Source organism: Homo sapiens, chromosome 12, assembly GCF_000001405.40.
Source record: "Homo sapiens chromosome 12, GRCh38.p14 Primary Assembly".
Taxonomy (NCBI): domain Eukaryota; kingdom Metazoa; phylum Chordata; class Mammalia; order Primates; family Hominidae; genus Homo; species Homo sapiens.
Window position 1 is genome coordinate 81,252,389 of NC_000012.12, and position 20,219 is coordinate 81,272,607.

General features: G+C 34.0%; 2 protein-coding genes across 56 annotated transcripts in view; one reads left to right on the forward strand and one right to left on the reverse strand.

Moving 5' to 3' along the window:
* Positions 1-8,822, forward strand: part of ACSS3 (acyl-CoA synthetase short chain family member 3) — a 183,340-nt gene extending 174,518 nt beyond the window's left edge. For 4 of the 6 annotated variants that reach the window (XM_047429549.1, NM_001330243.2, NM_024560.4 and 1 more), the window contains 3 exons: positions 919-1,018; positions 1,107-1,282; positions 2,469-8,822. In XM_047429549.1, the coding sequence (XP_047285505.1) occupies positions 919-1,018; positions 1,107-1,282; positions 2,469-2,534 (342 nt within the window). In that variant the 3' untranslated portion in view covers positions 2,535-8,822. Of the gene's footprint in view, positions 1-290; positions 417-918; positions 1,019-1,106; positions 1,283-2,468 lie in introns of those variants that run through there. The other 2 variants (XR_944720.4, XR_007063125.1) reach the window with 2 other exon arrangements.
* The window catches only part of PPFIA2 (PPFI scaffold protein A2), a 501,376-nt gene continuing 486,743 nt past the window's right edge, over positions 5,587-20,219 (reverse strand). For 26 of the 50 annotated variants that reach the window (XM_017020088.2, XM_047429788.1, XM_047429785.1 and 23 more), the window contains 4 exons: positions 15,524-15,699; positions 14,564-14,632; positions 10,843-11,002; positions 9,564-9,652 (listed from right to left, as the gene is read on the reverse strand). In XM_017020088.2, the coding sequence (XP_016875577.1) occupies positions 9,594-9,652; positions 10,843-11,002; positions 14,564-14,632; positions 15,524-15,699 (464 nt within the window). In that variant the 3' untranslated portion in view covers positions 9,564-9,593. Of the gene's footprint in view, positions 7,273-9,560; positions 9,653-10,842; positions 11,003-14,563; positions 14,633-15,523; positions 15,700-20,219 lie in introns of those variants that run through there. The other 24 variants (XM_024449242.2, XM_017020107.3, XM_024449240.2 and 21 more) reach the window with 2 other exon arrangements.

A 20,219-nucleotide genomic window follows, 5' to 3' on the forward strand; every position in this document is an offset into this window, starting at 1 on the left:
ACACAGGAGTCATTTAGCAAATATTCATTGAATGAATGAATAGAAGAAAGAACAAGGACTGCCAGATGTGCTGTTGGTTAAAAGTTTGCTCACTGTTTTCTCTAGCTATTAGAGCTAGAGAGTCACTGAAATAATGATTATTGGGGTCACCAAAATAAATGTTAATCTTTCAGAAAAAAAATTTTGAATATGCATTTTTAAAAGTCCCGTCACCATATATATATATATATTAACCCTAAGCGTCTGTATTTTATGTGGTTACTCAACTCTGTGGGTTTTTTTGATTTCAGATAGATACCAGCTTTGTGAACTTAAAGCAAGCAGTATGAATATAGTTCTTCAACAGTGGGGATTATCTGATGTCAGGGCTTCTCTCCATATCCAGCCTCTTGCAAGTCCTGGAAAATCATCTCTGGGTGGGTGGCCACTAGAGGAATTTCATTGTTCACTAACAGACTCAGAAATAAAGTTATTATTTAGCCATAGGGCAGCCTCGGATTCCTCTGGAAGGTATGCCTATGGCAGCCAGCATTAAGACCAAATCGCCATGAGGCTGCCTGTTTACAGAGGTTTGTTTACATACAGTATCCACTACACATTTTCTCTGACTTCATTAATAAACTGAGACAAAGAAACCATTTCCTTACTTTCCAGGTTAGCTGAGCAATTTATCTTAATTACTGTCAACCTTTAGTGACTACCATGGGGATTCTAAGCATTCACTTCACTAGTAATGATGTAAATTACTTATGAATTTTCAATAGGCAGCCATGGATTTTTGGCTTGTCTTACATGCACTTTTTTCCCCAACTGAAATTATATGTGTTTGTATATCTATATCTGTATCTATATCTATATGTTGAATATACATATATGGTAAATAAATGTATTCTAAATGAATGCCTTTCCTTATTACAGTCAATCCTTTCCCATGGTACCGTGGCAGACTGTGCTGTTGTTGGCAAGGAAGATCCCTTAAAAGGTCATGTCCCCTTAGCACTCTGTGTATTGAGAAAAGGTGAGAGATCTTTTTCTCCCTGATTGCTTGGGACCTGAATAATTAACTAAGGTTAATTCAGTGCTTACCATCTGAACTTTCTCTCTAGATATAAATGCAACAGAGGAGCAAGTTTTGGAAGAAATTGTGAAACACGTTAGACAGAACATTGGCCCTGTGGCTGCTTTTCGAAATGCAGTGTTTGTCAAACAGCTACCCAAAACCAGATCTGGCAAGATCCCCCGATCAGCTTTATCTGCCATTGTCAATGGCAAGCCATACAAGGTAAATTATCAAAGATATTTATTCCTGGGTTCTAAGATATTTTTCTTCATTTCTTTGGCATCAGCAAAGCTCTTAAAAATGGTTCTCAAATGTGAATTGCATCTCTAGAAAACACATAATAGTACTATTTTTTAATGTTAAGGGAGAGATTATATAGCCATTCCTTCTGTAGGAATGAAGGTTTTGGAAAGAAACTCAGATTAGTTAAGAACATATGCTTTGATGATAAGAACCAATGTGTGAAAATATTTTTATTTATTTATTTTAATTTAGAGATAGAGTCTTGCTTTATTACCCAGGCTGTAGTGCAGTGGTACAATCATGGCTCACTACAGCCACAAAGTTCTGATCTAAAGAGATCCTCTCACATCAGTCTCATAAGTAGTTGGGACTACAGGTGCATGCAACTGTGCCTGGCTAATTTTTTTCTTTTGTATTTATAGAGGTAGTGTTCTCACCATGTTGCCCAGGGTGGTCTTGAATTCCTGGGCTCAAGCGATTTGATTGCCTCAACCTCCCAAAGTGCTGGGATTACACGCCTGAGCCACTGCTGCCTGCCAAAATATTTTTTCTCTTAGTAATTGTCAGTTAAATTCAAACAAATTTGTGGAAACTTAATCCTATTGAATTAAAAGGTACATTTTCCTTATTATAGTAATTAATGGCAATTAGTGAATGAGAAAGCAAAATAATTGAGGCTAGCGGCAGTAGATGTTTAAAATGCTCTAACTGATAAATGCTAATTTTGTAATTATTTTAGGAAATCTTAGGCTGATTCAATCATATGTTTTAATTTGTGTGTACATTATGTGTGCAAAGATATACCTATTTTTATCATTAAGATAATAAAAGGCAATGCAACAGTAAGGAGTAGTTATGTGAACAAGTGACAAAAAAGAAACATTCTTTCTACAGAAATATATAGAAGACTCTTAAGAGGAACTCCAACTCTAGAGAAAATACCATCTAGGTCCAATAGTTTTGCTAACTGAACTGTTTATTTTTTTACTCTGGAAAGCTACAGATGAGTATTAATATATTAGGTTCAAAGTTCCCTATTTTTAAACTTTCCATATGAATATTACAAGACAATGGGGAAAACAACATTGCATATAATTGTTTAATTATAGAAAGAGTAGAAGAAATTCAAGGAAGAGTATTCACCTGACCCTAATTTTTTTTCCAGATAACTTCTACAATTGAAGACCCCAGCATTTTTGGCCACGTAGAAGAAATGCTGAAGCAAGCATAATGAGTTTGTCTTATTCCTATTTTGAGTTGATTTAATTTCTTAATTGAAATTAAATTATTTGAGTTGTTTCTCAGAAATAAATATTTCAGTAGAAATTACTTGCAAAATGAAATGTGAATTGTAAAACTTGGCCTAAACAAATCTAATGAAAACATGTGAAAGACCTGTGCCTTTTTTTTGGTTTGACCCTGTTAGCATTGTTATTAGTTATCTATAACATGGCTTATTGAATGTCATCTACTGCTTTAGGAAAAACGTATCTAGTGTATTATTTTTAAAATTGTACCTCCCAAGAAGAACACTTTAATTGAAAGCAACACTAATATAGAGCCACTTCCTGAAACCAAGAATCTGTAGTTTTGATCCAAAATCTAAAACTTAAAGTCAGAAAATAATTAAAATTTTTCTTGTAGAAATTTTAGATATTTTCTAGTATTCTTTAGATGCTCACATTGTTTTAAATAAAATAGATGAAATGGGAAGTTTAGGTAATCATCTAGACAGATGAAATTATTATCTAGGTAGGAGGGCTTTTCTATACATTTTCTGAGGGAAAGCAGAACACCGGGGTTATAGCTATACCTTCAGGTCTTTTGTTACTTAGGCAAGGAAAACCACATGTCTGACCTGGTTCAGCATGTAATCCGAGCACTTTGGGAGGCTGAGGCAGGCGGATCACTTGAGGTCAGCAGTTTGAGACGAGCCTGGCCAACATGGTGAAACCCTGTAGCTACTGAAAATACAAAAATAAGCCAGGCGTGGTGGCGGGAGGCTGAGGCAAGGAGAATCACTTGAATACAAGAGGCAGAGGTTGCAGTGAGCCAAGTTCCCCCACTGTACTCCAGCCTGGGTGACAGAGTAAGACTCCATCTCAAAACAACAAAAACAACAAAAAAACCACATGCCTGGCGGAGAACAAAGAGATCATTTAGTCCAATCTCTTCATGGAGATGAGGGCTCCTGGGAGCCCCTCTTCATGTCTCAGGTTCTTAGTTGACTATGTTTATCCAAATGATTCCAGATTCCTGTGGAAACAAGGAATCGATGTACAAATGGGGTAGGGTGGCAAGGAAAACTCTTAAGAGAGAAACATCAAGGTTTTCACATTAGGTTAAAGACAAGAAGGTTTCTAGGCAGGTAGTGTAATGTCTAGGTGATTTTGAAGTGAACTTAAGCCACTAGGTTTGAGGGACAAAGGACAGTAGAAAATGGTGAAGACTGCAGATCACCTGCTATACCTCAAGGAGCAGCGGACCCAGCAGAATATGGCCCAAAAAGGAGGCAGGTCTCCTGTTGCAAGAGCCTCTGTTTTTTTAAAGAGAAAACAAAGAATCCTGGTTTTTATGTGAAATCTCTAATTTTAAAATAATAACTCATTAAAAATATTGTAATGTCCAAAAGTATCTTTCCATTTAACTTCTAAAAATCTCTTAAATGTTTTTTTTAAATAATTGTAAAGTGAGTTTTTGTTAAGCTTATAGGAATGGGCCAGTTAACTAAGGTAGACAGATGTAGGAAATTAAATATTTGATTTACTTAGGGATCTATATGACATCAGTTATCAAAGAATACATTTTAACCCAAAAGTATACCATGCTCATTGTATCTTTGATCGTTCTTCAAGTATTTCTCAATCTTTTAATCTATCAGGAACATTACTATCAAGAGCAGATTGTTGTAACATAATACTCAGGATACATGAAATGTATGTGAGAGATAAATAGATAATAGAAAGTTTATTGTTATAAAAATGACCTACAACTTATATAAAAAAATTCTGAAAATGTTGACTTTTTTTGGACTGAAGACTGCAAAATAAATGGCTTCTCAAAGTAAATTCCTATTTACTTAAATTGCCTTCTTGATTGTTACACCTGGAAAAATATATTCATCTACTTTTTCCTTTTAATTATGTTAGTAGACTGAATTAAACCAGCTACATAGACACTCTCTCATTTGAAGCTGTTGGGATCCTTGAGTTGCCTCTTTCATTGGTACGTTTTATCCATTGTCACAACTGTGGTCTTCATTAATAACTCATTTTAATGTCTTAGGAGTAGAATGTGTTTCCTTATTTTTTTTCAAATAAGAGTCAGTTAATTTGAAATGGCAAATTATTTACCTGAATGTGTATCATTGTTCATTTGCAAGGTTTAAGCTCAGGCAGATCCAATAATTAGGTAAAGGTTGCATCTTTGGTCCTCTTGCACATTTTTTCTGGTAATCAAATCTGAAGCGACATCTCAGCAAGCAGACTTGGGTTATTTTCCACTAGGATGGGAATGGAAAACAGTGCTGGAGACTGGGGAAGTGGCTATTTCCTGTGTCTCACTGGGGAATTGCAAGATCAAAGAATGTTGTTACTTTTATGTGATGAAAAAATAGGGCAAGAAAGATATACCTGAATCATCAGACTGCTTAAAATTTGGGAGGAAAAAATTCTATTTTACTACTAACCATAAATCACTTTTGCTAGATAGTACTTTAAAGATTCTGAATTAAATGTATCTTTAAAAACAACAATATAATATTACTAAAAAATGCAGACATACTTAAACTTGCTAGAATAAATTCTGTGAGGTCTTCGTTTGGTATTTTCATAGGATTTCTTACTGTTAAGTTATTGGAAAATGAAAATATAAAGTGCTTTCAGAAGTTATAGTATTTTCCAATTCATTGAATTACTTTGCTTGTGAAAATATATTAAACATATTTAAATGAGACCTATCCTACATTTAAAAACCAGTTTTGTTTATATAAAATTGTATTTGAAAGGTCCTGAACATTAAAAATGTGAAAATTTATAATGTTGATGATCAAAAGTAACGTGTTGAGACTCTGAGCTTAATCCATTAAATGGATTTTAGAATCTAGTAGAAGTTATCTTTCTTATAAATTAAAACATATTTTATGCTTCTTTTTTGAGGGAAATACCTGGATCTTTTGCATCACTATATGTTAGTGTCTATTATAGATGATTAATCTTTCTAACTTGATCTTTAAAAGAAAGAAATTGATTTTAGTGATTGAGTGTTATATAATAGTAGATACAAATCTAGTTATGGCATTATAATGTCGTAGTTCCTATATTCTATTTCATTTCTATGAATCAAGATGCCCATGTTTAGATGAGCTTAGAAAGCTACTTCTCATTGTTCCTACTCAGGCCACATTTTTAGAAAAAAATTTTAAGATCACTCCCATAAGCAAGTTTAGATCTCCCTCTTGTGGCAGACTCAATTTTGAAGCTAAATATTTGGGTCACCCAAAGAACACATTTCCTGATAGTTTAAGTAAATTGTCGAGCCTTATGTGACTAGAAAACAAAGCTTAAACAGAGAACTGGAATTATTATTTTTTTTATTGACAATGGAAAGGGTTTCTGTTATCATTACCTTTTGACTGAATCTGTTAAATAAAAATAGACATCAAAACAAATGTAATGTACGTGCAAACATAGCAAATTAAAATACAGAAAAGAAATTACTAATGACAGGTCTTGCGCTTAATAAGATCAAGCAGCAGAAAATCAGCAGTTAGATAAATGGTATTATTAAATAGGCTTTACTTTGAATCTCCCATATAAACAAAGAATAAACAACAGTAACACCACCAAATAAAGCCACAGGGAAGAGATTACTCTTCTATACTTTTATACACTATATATGTTAATCATTCTGTCTTTCATTTATTTCCTCTGATAAAACTGACTTCAGGGAAGTCGCAACAAGGCCATCTCGGCTAAAAGCTTATAACATTAGACATGAGTCTGGCTAATGCCCTGTTACATTGACAAAAGGGAAAGGTATCTTGGGTTTCGTTTTCTCTAGTGGAAATGAGCCTCAGACTCTGCGGTGGTTGACATTCACTGTCCAGTACTGGCTGGCATTTCAAGATATTTGAATGAACATGTGGTTCTTAGTAAAGAAGTTTTTTTATCTTTTTTTTTTTCTTGGTCCACAGGTAACAAGAGAAGATTATGGTTTTTTAATATAAATTTTTAAATAATTGCTTTTGACCCTTGTAAACAGCTTGGCTTTGTTTTGTATTGAAAAGGAGATCAAGCCATCACAGTGCTATTTCTAAAGATATAGGACATCCCTGATTGCCTTTAAAGCTCTATTTTTGGCTCCGGTTCCAGGTTAAATCATTCTTTTTTACATGATCAGAGGCAGGTTGTTCAGCTTTAAGTATTGACAGACTTGAAGGAGAAACACGTTGAAGCATGAAACATGCTTCAAGGAAACATATTGATTTGACTATTAACAATCCAAAAACTGTAAAAATGGTGGAATGGTAAAATACAAACAGTACTTGGAATTGTCAAATGTTTGCACTCGAGACTCCATGAACCATATATTTTATTTTTTAAAAAATCATATTTATATCCATTTACATAAGACTTACACATTTAAAAAGAAATGCACGGTAATACATAAATGCCTAGTATATTACAATAAAACATGAAAAACAACTGGCTTCATTTCATAAAAGCATCTGTTGTACAGAGTTTATGATGTAGATGATGTTTATTATTCAAATGACTTAAGCATTTTATTACAATTTGTAGTAAACTAATCAAATGTAATATCTGACTCCCCCCAAAAATCACATTTTTCAGCTTTTAATAAGTCATGACGTCATTATTTCCTTAGAATTCAGTTTTCACAAAGGTTTTCACTGCTCGTCTTCTTAGATGGTAGTGCACTTTAGGTAGAGTAGACTGAAAAGACGCCATCTAAAATATACAATGGATAGCATTAGTTCACTGAAAAGTCCCAGACTGGGAAATCTCATTCTACTCCTCTGTGGTGTACCTCCACGCAGCCTGCTTACTCCTGTCCTAGAAGATCATGAGAAGGAAATCATCTAGGATGTAGCCAACAGCCGTATGTAATTAACATTTGCTTTTCTCCAATTTGGTGCAGGGGAGCTTAACAAATAATAGAATTTGCTCAACTTTGTGGAAAGTATGGCAGTAATGTAAACAAAGGTAGTTATGCAAAATGTTAGCATGCCTTCTGAAAAATTTACAACTTGCTAATTAATAAATTGGGTTGAATTGACCTATTTCATAATGTAGATTTATATTCTAGTTCATATATTTTAGAGTTCTTAAAAAATACCTTTATTTGTTACAAAAACATAACGATAATAAGTCACCTATTGTAAACGTTTGTGTCAGTAGTATGGCATTGCTGATTGTTTTCAGCCATAATGTACTTAGAAAAAGCTCACAATTGCTATTACTGACACAAAAGAAACAGCAAGTAGTATGCTCTGGATTATTTTAATATCAAAAGTGTTGTTGTTTCACCCAAACAAAAAATGGTTGTCCTAGATTGAATTATTGTAAATGAATACTGTTATCCCAATTAATGGTAAAAACTAGGAAATATGAACTAGAATGTCATGCACAAAAAACAGATTGCAAATAGAGTAACTCTACCCATCACTTAAGAGCTAAGAAGCAAGCACTATTGAACATATTAAATAGTCATTTGTAAATTAGTGAAGTGTTCATTTCCTGAAGAAATTATAATGCTATGTGTAGAATCTAATATAAACAGTATTTTGGGAGACCTCTTATTTAGCCAAATTATTATATACTTTAAATCATGTCTAATTAGGTGCCAAATTATATACCATAATTAAAATTTTAATGTAAGGGTTGTACATTCTGAAATTAAATCTCTTATCGGGATGCTTTTCATTTTATCAGCTTCAAATAGTGATCCAAATAAGGCAGCATATCTGCTCCCATCCTAAGCCCAAAAGACCAACAATAAATTGTGTGGCACTTTTAGTTCAAGGCAATGAAAACAGCACAAGGTGAGTTGTTCCTCTGTCTATAACTGTTTTCTCTTAACCCTGTGCACACATTTTGTTCTAAATATCGCTCTTAAAAAGTATTTTTCTAAAATATTGATTCATCGAAAGTGGTTAAATATTTTGGTAAAGCATAGTTTTAGGTTGAAAAAAAATTATGAACATTTGACATTTATAAATCTAAGAAACCACAGTTTTACTATTAAGACTGTTTTTCAATAAAACCTCATTTTTATATGGATTTTAAAGTAGCTTTCATTAATTGGTATTTCCTTAAAATCAAATGCTTGGTATTTATGGTTACATAGGAAGGTTTTGTGCTGGTCCTATTCTCCATTCTTAAAGTAATTTTATTTTGTTCCTATATGTCTTAAATACTTAAAATTTATATTTGTTTTTAGCAAGTGTAAATCAGATTGATAAGAAACAATGTAATAAAGGTTTGAATTTTTCACAGTTTCTACTATTTATTTATTGATTTATTTTAAGACGGAGTCATGCTCTGTCACCCAAGCTTGAGTGCAGTGGCACCATCGCTCACTGCAACTTCTGCCTCCCAGGTTCAAGTGACTCTCTTGCCTCAGCCTCCCAAGTAGATGGGATTATGGGAGTGCAACACCATGCCTGGCTACTTTTTGTGTTTTTAGTAGAGATGAGGTTTCACCATGTTGGCCAGGCTGGTCTCTAACTCCTGACCTGAAGTGATCCACCTGCCTCGGCAAGTTTCTATTTTTTAATATGAAACCATCTCTAAATCATTTTCCTGTCTGTTGCTATTTGACTCGGTGAACTTGCTTAAATCCCTATCCGCTACCTTGGCTTCCTTATATAAAATATACACTTAAAAAGATAGGATTTTTTAAAGTGCTGAATTATTATCAATAAAATGCTAAGTTACTCAACAGGAAATGGTACTAAAAAGTAGAAAACAGTGTAGTGGCAACCCATTGATGTGTAATAATACAGTGATAGGCCTCCAACAGGCAGACCTTAAACCACAGGAGACAGATGGTGATAGGAAATGCTAGACTAAGTGTTACAATATGAAGATTTCTTTTTCCCCTGAAGCAATTCAAAAGGGTTATCTCATTTCTGTACTGCTAGGGCATACCAAAGAGTATAGTGTATATTTATTAGTCTATGTAGGTTCCATTTTTTTGTCTTTTTTTTTTTGTCAGCCAAAGGGAAACTACTCACAGCAGGTCAGTGCTGCCTCCTTTGAGTGGCTGGTCAACATGAGTATGTGCGAACAGTGGAGTTGTCTAACCTCTGCAGTCTTGATGAAGCAACTGCAAATGGAGAAAAGGGCTTTAGAGGGACTTGGATGATTGAGTACAAGATTTCAGATGAGAAAGATTTATTTTCCCTGCATACAGGGATTCCGAACATATTAGTAGACCTTCTTTCTCTCAGATATAAGCCACTCACATTCCTCTTCTCTAGATCAAGTTCCTAATGAAAATTTATCCCAATGTAAATGACCTGAGCTTTTGAGTTGTTATGTATTCTTCCTTAGATAAAATCGGTAACAAGAGCAGCTCCCGAGGGTGCTTCTGATTTTGATATGGAGATTGCTCTTAGAGAACTCATTATAGTGGATTTTTTTTCCTTTCCAAGTATTGAAGAACTTCTACACTAATTGTAATGATGTTAAATTCCTCATGAATTTCGCTGACATGTTCCACCGTATTAACAAGTTGTAAGAAATGTAGATCAAGATCACAGTTTATGTTGGAACTAAATTTGAGTTATAATAACTGTGACCTTGACAAGAAATAATGATGCTAGGTGATTATCTTAACAAATAGCATGGGACTATTTTTCTTTAATGCCTCCCAAACAGAAATAATTTTGTGACTACTATTTCAAAGTTGTCTCTCCTCTGGAATGACTTTTCTTTTGTAAATTAGATAGCTTAAGTCTAATGTCCACAGAAGGAAATAGTAATTGGGAAATTACTGTGTTTTGTGTTTCTTTAATTCTCTTCTCATGTTCATGGCTTGTTTATTTAAGGGCTTCTGCTTTGGCTAGAGGGAAAAATATTTGATGAGTGAATTTCTAAGATGACATATAAAACTCGCAGTATTTAAACATGTAGGGAGACAGTGGAGTTAATTTCCATTTACTATGGATCTTTAGTCCAAGTCCAACCTCTAACTTAAACAAATTGTTAATTTTGGGAATAGAAGACTAAAGAAACACAAATCCTGCCGATGTTTATTGTTCCTCCTAGAGGTGGACATTAACCAAATTGTTCTTTTTGGGATGTTATAAATTATTTTGAAAATGTGAATAAAGTGCCATGAGTTCATGCAATAGCAGTGTAAAAAGGAGTCTGGTTTGTGATGAGAGCAAAGTAAATTTCAAGCAGAGCAAACCAACTCAAGAAAATAATTCCAAAAAGCAAGGTCAGAGAATTATACTAGCTTTGGCTAAACAAGCTTTTTGCTTGATAAGCAGCAATGCAAAACTACTGTACCATCTGTTGTCATTTTTCTTGACTGCCCAGAGGTTGTGGTTAACCTAAATCCAGCTGGTAATGTTTCTGAGGACCCAGGCATCATGCTGATTCCATGTACTTCACGAGGAGGAAACTGCCTTCTCCAGGTTGATCCACGTCTGAAGTTCTTGTCATCACTCTGCCAGTACAGTTATAAGGTGATGTTATGAAAACAAGTAAACTAGTCCATGTGCTTAAAGCTCTGTGCTTAGAAACATGTAACATAGATTATTTACATTTAGTCTGTCAAGTATACGTATGGAATCACGCTTTATCAAGATAGTTAGTTCTATGATTCCAAAACAAGACTATAGGAGATTTGATATATAAATTTTTAAATAAAACTTTTCATACAATTTCAAATTTAAGGTCTGACATCTATACAGTAAATATCCTTGAAAGCCTAAAATAAGCAACCAATGTTTTCCAAAATAAATATTGTATATACATTGTTCCACTTTATGCCGACGGGTTTTATGGAAAGAGATGATATACTTAATTGAATCAGTTGTTGAGTAGACTACATTTAACTCACACACTTGAATGAAATGACTTCTATGTACACAAATACAATGTAGGTATTTATTTTGGGGAAATCTATATTTGAGATGGCATGGCTAATATGAGACACTGTAGCCTATTATAATATCTGTACAAGAAACTCTAAATATGTGATTTGTGAAGTTTTAGGTGACACAGAATTAACTTGCAATTTGTTGAAAAATCTGTGTAGCCTGGACACCATCCTTTCAATAAGTACATGTGGTCTTTGGGTACCACCGAAAGCATAATATTACCCTGGTTACATTTTAATAATGTGTATTTTAATATACACAGAGGCAGAGAGTCACATCCCATTTAATTGGCCCAGTAGACTTTTTCTCTAGTTCATTACTATCAGGAAGCAACATCATACCCCACATAGGCTAGTGTCTCTACTTGGACAGATCCTAGGGTGAATCCACATTTTAGAATGTAGCATAGCAATTACATTTTAATTCTGGTTGCTGATTTTGTTATGCCTTAATAAAATAATCTCTTCCTTCTCTTTGTGTACATAAAGTACTTTTACAGACATAATTATTTTCCTCCAAATTGGCAAGTAGCAATATATAATTCAGCAGTCAATGAATATTCTGTGTCTAATTCCAAGGAAAATATGAATCATTCCACATAGGTCTTGTCTTCTCATCTCACTGTTTCTTATCTAGGGAAGGACTATCTATGCCATAGATAGGTATAGCCAAGTATATGTTGTGTATCCTAATATCTCATTTGATTTCATTCTGGCATTTGGAATAATAAGTCTATATTCACTCAACATAGTAATTTGTGCTATGTTATAGTGAATAATTCTATAAGGTAGGCTTTGTAGACTGCTATATTAATTAAGGGACATTTAAAGTCAATCAGGGAAAAATAAAATCATTTTTATATAATAACATATATCCACTGTTTCAATCCTTATCATCATTAAAATCTACATTTTGTTTCAGTGTGGTAGCCATTTTGCACATTAAGAGATGTCCGCTACTCTTCCCAACTGCTGTGTTTTTCATTGCCCTAGATCTCCAAATGTGTGTAAATGTAGAAAAGAAACAGAATTTCACAGTTGCAGCCTCTACGACTTCTTGATTCTTGGAGAAGTTTTTGCATTAAGCATAAATAGTCTTCAGTTTTATAAAACACTATGTTACACTGTAGAGCTACACAACTCCTTACAGTGTCGTAGCTAGGGGCTTAAAAATAAGCCAGTTTTGGCTGGGCGTGGTGGCTCACGCCTGTAATCCCAGCATTTTGGGAGGCTGAGGTGGGCGGATCACCTGAGGTCAGGAGTTCCAGACCAGCCTGACCAACATGGAGAAACCCTGTCTCTACTAAAAAATACAAAATTAGATGGGTGTGGTGGCACATGCCTGTAATCCCAGCTACTTGGGAGGCTCAGGTGGGAGAATCGCTGGAACCCAGGAGACGGAGGTTGTGGTGAGCCGAGATCACACCATTGCACTCCAGCCTGGGCAACAAGAGCGAAACTCTGTCAAAAAAAAAAAAAAAAAAAAAAAAAATTGCCAGTTTTTAGAGTTAAGCGTTTGAATTATGATTCCTGACTTCTGTTCTTTCAACATATTGTTACTGCAGAAAGTTGATAGAACTATAAACAACAACATCATGGGGAAAACTTTTCATGAGATAGGGTTAATTCTTTTAATTGGGGTCAAAGTCTGTATAAGCTTGTTGACACCTCTCAGATTATTTCAGTGGAATCTGAATGTGATCAGCAAAACCGCAGAAATAAGTCCACTACTGTTCTAAGTAAGTTGGCTATTTTTGCTCACACTAAAAAATAAAATAAAATTGAACAAAAGAGACTAGAGGGTTTAAATGACAAAATTCTATTTTGTGCTTTTAAAAATAAGAAAAAGCAGCAGCATAGTTTAAAGACAACGAGTCGCATCTCGTTTAATTGGCTCAATAGACTTTTCTTCTAGTTCATTACTATTAAGAAGCTACCCCACACCTGGACAGCTCCTAAGAGAATGTAGCAATATGACAACTCTTCAATAATTTTTTATTAGAAATTTTTGCAACTTATAAGTAAGAATAATTGTATTTTAAGATGTATGAGTTTATAAGACTACCTTTTTGAATCAATAATTTCTAGTAAGGATTTAAAAGACTGTCATGCAACTTATAAGACGAGGCTTTTAAAAATATTAATCATTATGCTGATTGAATAAGAGCATGAATTTATCAGAAGTTAGCTGAGTTCAAGACTGTAGAACTTATCTCTCTATAATCCCCACCATAAAGGACAGAGTGGATTTTATAATACCAAGATTATCTGTCCTGCCTATTTGAATATAGAATGATTGGTCCATATTTGAATTTGCTGAGGTCTTCACAAAATAATTTTAATCAGCTTGTCTTTGTAGTAAGGAACACCTGTACTTTGCAACACAGAATTATGCATCTCTTTATTTTCTATTTCATGCTCAGGTTTCCTTCCCACTTCTTCCAGAAAGACCCTGTAGAAAAACTCAGAAAGACTATTAAAATGTCTACAGTCCACAGCATTTGCTGATATCCCTTGTATTCATTCATCTCGGGAGGCTACTTACATGTTTATTATTTTCCAAATAACTTAATATGCACATATTATATAGCGATTCTTATATTCAATATAGCTTTCAAATTCTATGACTGTTAAAATGTTATTAATCTGTTTTGAAGGAAAACTCAGTATCAATATATAAAATAATAAAAAGCTTTCCATTTATTGAAGCAAGTTTTATCCTCATTTTAATTTTCTAAAATTTCCTGGCAAGATATACTGATATTTAAGAAATACACGCACTCTTTATTAAAAAGCTGAATTTATCAACATTAGTGTTTTAACTTTTTTCTAATTTTTTAAAATAATGTTGCCCAACGTTTTGCAGTCACGACTCATAAAAATGTTTTGTAAATTACTGTTTAGTATCTCTACCTGCTGAAATGATAATATTTATGAATTAATATAGCTCTTTCCAAAATTAAGTAATAAGATTGAATATTTAACAACAAACCTGGAGAAAATTATTGATTCTAACCATAGAACAGTCATTTGATTAATTTCCAAGCACTATTCCTTAAAAACAAAGATGTTCTATCATTTTTCTTTTACTCTCTCAGATCTCTTTTGAATAACAGGTGGACTTACTTCATCCAGTCGCCTTTCAGTTCCCAGGGCCAAGAGGTTATTGTATTCTCTTTCAAGAATCTGCCTTGCCTGTTGACGTCAAATTACAGTTACCATCACCGAAATCACATTTTATTTTAAAAATCAAGTAGCTTATATTTATCTGATAATGTATTATAAACCATACTTTATTTATGGGTTTTGAAGTTTTTAGCCCTCCATGTCTGTTATTAGCCATTGTAAATTTTAACTACAAAAAAAACAGGGCTTTTTTTTTTTTTTCTGTGAACAGTAGAGAGACAGTCTTGCATAAACATCTGAGGTCAAGAGGCTTTGGCCTCACTTCGTTACTATATTTCAATTGAGTATTTTGTTTAATCTCTGAAATATGTAAAAACAAAATAAAAAGTGAAACGAGACTGCCAAATTTTTATTGAATCTATGTAGGTAGTTCTCAAACCTGGCCAATGATTATCATTTGAGGAAAGTTTTGATAATAAAGATTCCTATGCCCTATCTCTTGACAACTGATGTCTTAGGACTATGATGTGGGTTGGAGGTTTTATTTTTTATTCATAAGGAACTATACTGATTCAAATTATTATCCAGTTTTGGGAATCACTGACATATCCAATGCTAAGAGTCTGTATAATTCATACATGTAAATAGAAATGACTGCCTCTCAGAGAGGCAGAGACTGATGGCCATCTGTCAGGGATTTCATTTAGTGGAATCTGGCATTCAGGTGGGAGACTGGGCCACATAACTTCGAAATCCCTTTCTTGTTTAATTGTATGATTTTTTTTTTTTTTTTTTTGGCTAGAAATCCACTAGCCTGAAATTAAAACCCCAGTGACATATTTCAAACATTGAGTTAACTTTCATTAACAATCATGAATACACAGCCAATTTTTTTCTAAAAGTTTAGTTTATCATTATATAAACCAGAACACATTGAGACTACAGCAGAAAGTGACTTGCCTGGGTGTTCTGTGTTGGAATCTGTAATAATAAAGCTAAGCTGCTGTAGTCAAAGTTTTCATCCAGGGCTATAAGTGAGCCATGCACACCGCTCTCAAGTATATTATTTGCATATTCTCGAAGTCCAATTGCTTGTATCCAGCGAATAACTCGGTCATTGCTCCACACCAACACGTCTAGGAAAAGAGATGCATCATTTTAGGATGCATTATTTTTCTTTCTTTTTTTTTTTTTTTTTTTTTTTTGAGACGGAGACTCGCTCTGTCGCCCAGGCTGGAGTGCAGTGGCGGGATCTCGGCTCACTGCAAGCTCCGCCTCCCGGGTTCACGCCATTCTCCTGCCTCAGCCTCCCAAGTAGCTGGGACTACAGGCGCCCGCCACTACGCCCGGCTAATTTTTTGTATTTTTAGTAGAGACGGGGTTTCACCGTTTTAGCCGGGATGGTCTCGATCTCCTGACCTCGTGATCCGCCCGCCTCGGCCTCCCAAAGTGCTGGGATTACAGGCGTGAGCCACCGCGCCCGGCGCATTATTTTTCATAGTAGAACCACTGGCTGAAATGAGCCATGGGTATCTGGCCAGGTCACATTTATGCTGATTCATCCACACTCTAATCCATCTGGCTCCCTTCATTTGTGTGTAGTTACTGTTTTAATAATTAATCTTTTCGAGTCTCTATTTAAAAAAGTTGTTATTTTTCAGAGTGTTTGTTATAGCTAAAATGACAGCACTTCAGTCGCGTAGAACACGATGTCTGTGTTTCTTGTTTTCATACTAGAGAACTAGGTGTCTGTCTGAAGTTCAATATTTTTACCATCAGAGGGAGACATTTCTTATTTGTGTCTTGATACACACCTCTTCAGTAAACAGCAGACGAGATTGTAATACTGTCTTTCATCAGAAGTGTTTGTTAACCACTACCTAAACATTGGCATATAGACTAGAAGATTTTTTTTCACCTGAAGTAATATATAAGAACAGAACGGTAAAATAATATAAGGCATCAACAGATGGATACTTACCTTAGTATTATATTTCAATGCATTTTTCCCAATCACATGCTAATGCAAAATTCAAGCACTCAGTCAAATGTCAAAAATTGTTTCCACTCTATTGAAAGTAGTATTCTATTGAGGAAAAAATTTCTTTGATTTTTATTTTCTAAAAATAAAACTTTCAGAGAAAAATGCCGTTTCTTTTTTTTTAGATAAAAACATCAAATTATGTTTTATCATTTATTTTCTTCAATATCTTCCCATTAAAAGTTGACAGAATGCTATATAAAATGAGTAAAATAGTCCGAAGGACTAAAATTGTCCATAGAAAAGAAAGAATTTTAAGAAACTTAAGGGGATATGAGAAAAAAATTAAAACATTTTTACTACCCATAGAAAGGGAAAGGAAACTATAATTACTATTAAAGTAAAAGTAAGTTTTCCTGTCCATTTTTTTTCTTTCTAATGAAGTGCCTAGCTCTTTCAGACAAAGTATAAAAATCTTTCAGGAAATATTCTTCAACTTTAACTGTTTTAAATACCTGTTTCAATAAGCCTTTGAAAAGCATGTTCTAAATAATTATTTTGATGAGTCTTTGAAAATCCTTATTTATCTTATTTTATCCATTTATAACCAACTTAGATGTTCTTGTGTATAACTTTGAAGCAATACAGTGATAGCACAGACCCACAGAGGTCCCCTCATGCAACTTCTCAGGCACCATTCTCACCTAACAGTAACCAATATTCTGACTTCTTTCATTACAGAATCGCCTTGCCCGATTTATTTTTTTTAGCTTTTCATACATAAAATCACCCAATATGTACTTTTTTGTCTGCCTTTCATTCAATATGGAATTTATCTACGCTTTAGCAAATAGCAGTGGCGTGTTCATGATCATTGCTATCTAGCATCCCATTGCATGATTATGCTGCAATGTGTCCATTCTACTGTAGATGGACATGTGAGTAGATTCCACTTTGGGTTATTAAGAATAGTGTTCCTTTGAGGGGGAAAGGGTGGGGGATGGCAAGGGATAAAAAACAACACATCGGGTACAGGGTACACTGCTTGGTTGATGAGTGGACCAAAATGTCAGAAAAATCACCACTAAAGAACTTGTTCATGTAACCTAACACCACCTGTTCCCCAAAAACCTATTGAAATAAAAAAACAATAAATAGTGCTGCTTTGAATATTGTTATACATGGATTTTGTTTTGTATATTTACATGTTGCAGTAGAATAAATAACAAGGAATAGAATTGTTATGTGTTTACTTGTTAGCAGATATTGCTAAGCAAATTCCACTCTCACAATTTAACCTTGCATTATTAATGTCTGAACATCTTCATCTTTACCAATGCTTTGTATTTCTCATTTTTGTTCTTGTTTTGTCTTGCTTTTTTTAGTCATTATGGTAGGTGTGGTATTATGGGTTGAATTGTGTTCCCCAAAATTCTTGTAGAAGCCCTAACTTCCAGTACCTAAGAATGTAACCTTACTTGGATATCAGGTCTTTATAGAAATGATCAATTAAAATGAGTCAATAGAGTGGGCCCAAATTCAATGAGACTGTTATCATTCTTGAATGGCAAAATTTGGAAATAGACATGCACACATGGAGAGCATTATGTGACTATGAAGGCAGGGATCGTGGCGATGTTCCTACCCGCCAAAGAACATCAAAAATTGCCAGCAAATCACCAGAAGTCAGGGGGCGAAGCGAATAGCAGATTCTTTTCAGTAGCAACTGACTCTGCTAACACCTTGGTCTGGAACTTCTAGTGTGTAAAAGTGTGAGACAACACATTTCTGTTGTTTAAGACACACAATCTGTGGTACTTTGATACAGCAGCCCTGACAAACTAATACATGGGGTGTCTCATTGTAGTTTTAATCAGTAACACCCATTATGAACTGAAAACGTCTGCTACTTTTAAGGTTTGTCAGTTTTTACTTTCCATATTTTAAATCTACATATTAGATGTATACTAATTTGCTATATCTTTCCTTCTATTATTTGAAAATAGCCAACTTATTTCTAGTATGTTTCCTGCCTTAAAGTTTATATTCTGATATTAGAAGAATCACAGTAGCTTTGGTTAATATTTGCATGTATACCTCATTTACTAATAAGTTTTCTATGTTCTTATATTGAAAGTGTGTCCATTGTATACAGCATATCATTGTTTTTTAATCTGTCCTTAAATTGAAGTAGTTAGTTCTTGCCCATTTAATATTATTACTTTGATATTTGTGCTGAATTCTACCATCTATTTGTCCTATCTGTTCTTTGTTCTTTTTCTCTCTTTCTTGCCATTTATTGTTTTCTTATTTTATTCTACCACTCCATTAGCTTTCTTTTTTCTTTTATTTTTTGAGACTCAGTCTCACTCTTGTTGCCCAGGCTGGAGTGCAATGGCATGATCTCTGCTTACTGCAACCTCTGCCTCCAAGGTTCAAGCGATTCTCCTGCCTCACCCTCCCAAGTAGCTGGGACTACAGGCATGCGCCACCACACCTGGCTAATTTTGTATTTTTGCTAGAGATGGGGTTTTACCATGTTAGTCAGGCTGGTCTCATCTCCTGACCTCAGGTGATCCACCTGCCTTGGTCTGCCAAAGTGCTGAGATTATAGGCATGAGCCACCATGCCCGGCCCTCTATTAGCTTTTTATATTTACACTTTATATTATTATTTTAGTAGTGACACTTAAAGCTTATAATATGTGTTCTTATTAGAGTCTACTATAAATTATTCCTTTTATTATTTTCTAGATAATGCAAAGACTTTCAAATAATTTAATTTCACTTATTCCCTTCCTTTTGCATTATAGTTATGTATTTTAATTCTATGTAAAATTTAAGTCCTGCAGATATTATTTTTACTATTATTATGACATTTACCCATACATTTTTCAGTTCTCCTCCATCATGTGTGCATTTTTTTATTATCTTTATGATCATTTCCATCTGCCTGAATCACTTATTCTAATATTTCTTTTCTATTTGTTTTTTTTCTGGTGAAATAGTCTCTCAGATTTTGTTTGTCTGAAAGTTTATTAATTCTCTCTTTACTATTGATGGACATACTTCAAAGTAAGTTAGTTTGATTCAGCATTTTAAGGTAATAATTCCATTTTCCTCTAGCATTATTTAGTTGAGCAATATCAGTTATATTATGTTGCGCCATTGAAATTATTGTGGAGTTTACTCTGGCAGATTCTAAGATTTTGGGGTGTGGGAAATCATGGTTTTCAGTAGCTCTATTGTAATGTGTTTAGACGTGTTTTTATTTCCGCTTTTATTTTTAATCTCACTTGGGGTCCATCGAGAACCTTGAGTCTGTGGTTTATCATTTCAATTATTTTCTTTTTATGTCTCCACCAGTATCTTTTCAAATATTGCTTCTTTCTTATTGTCTCTTACCTCACCATGTCCAATATGTCTCTAGTGATGTTTTATATCATTCGTCCTTTTTGTTTCTTGTCATATGTGGGCTAGATGTTTTCAAGTGATCTTTTATTTCACTAAACTCTCTTCTACTGTTAAACCACCTATTGTGTTCTCAATTTAAGTCTTTATACTTTTCACTTCTTCAAATTTCCATTTGATTATTTGTTAAACATATTGATTCCAACTATATTAAATTCTCCATTTTCTCACTTATATTCCTTACATATTTTTTAATAAACACTGT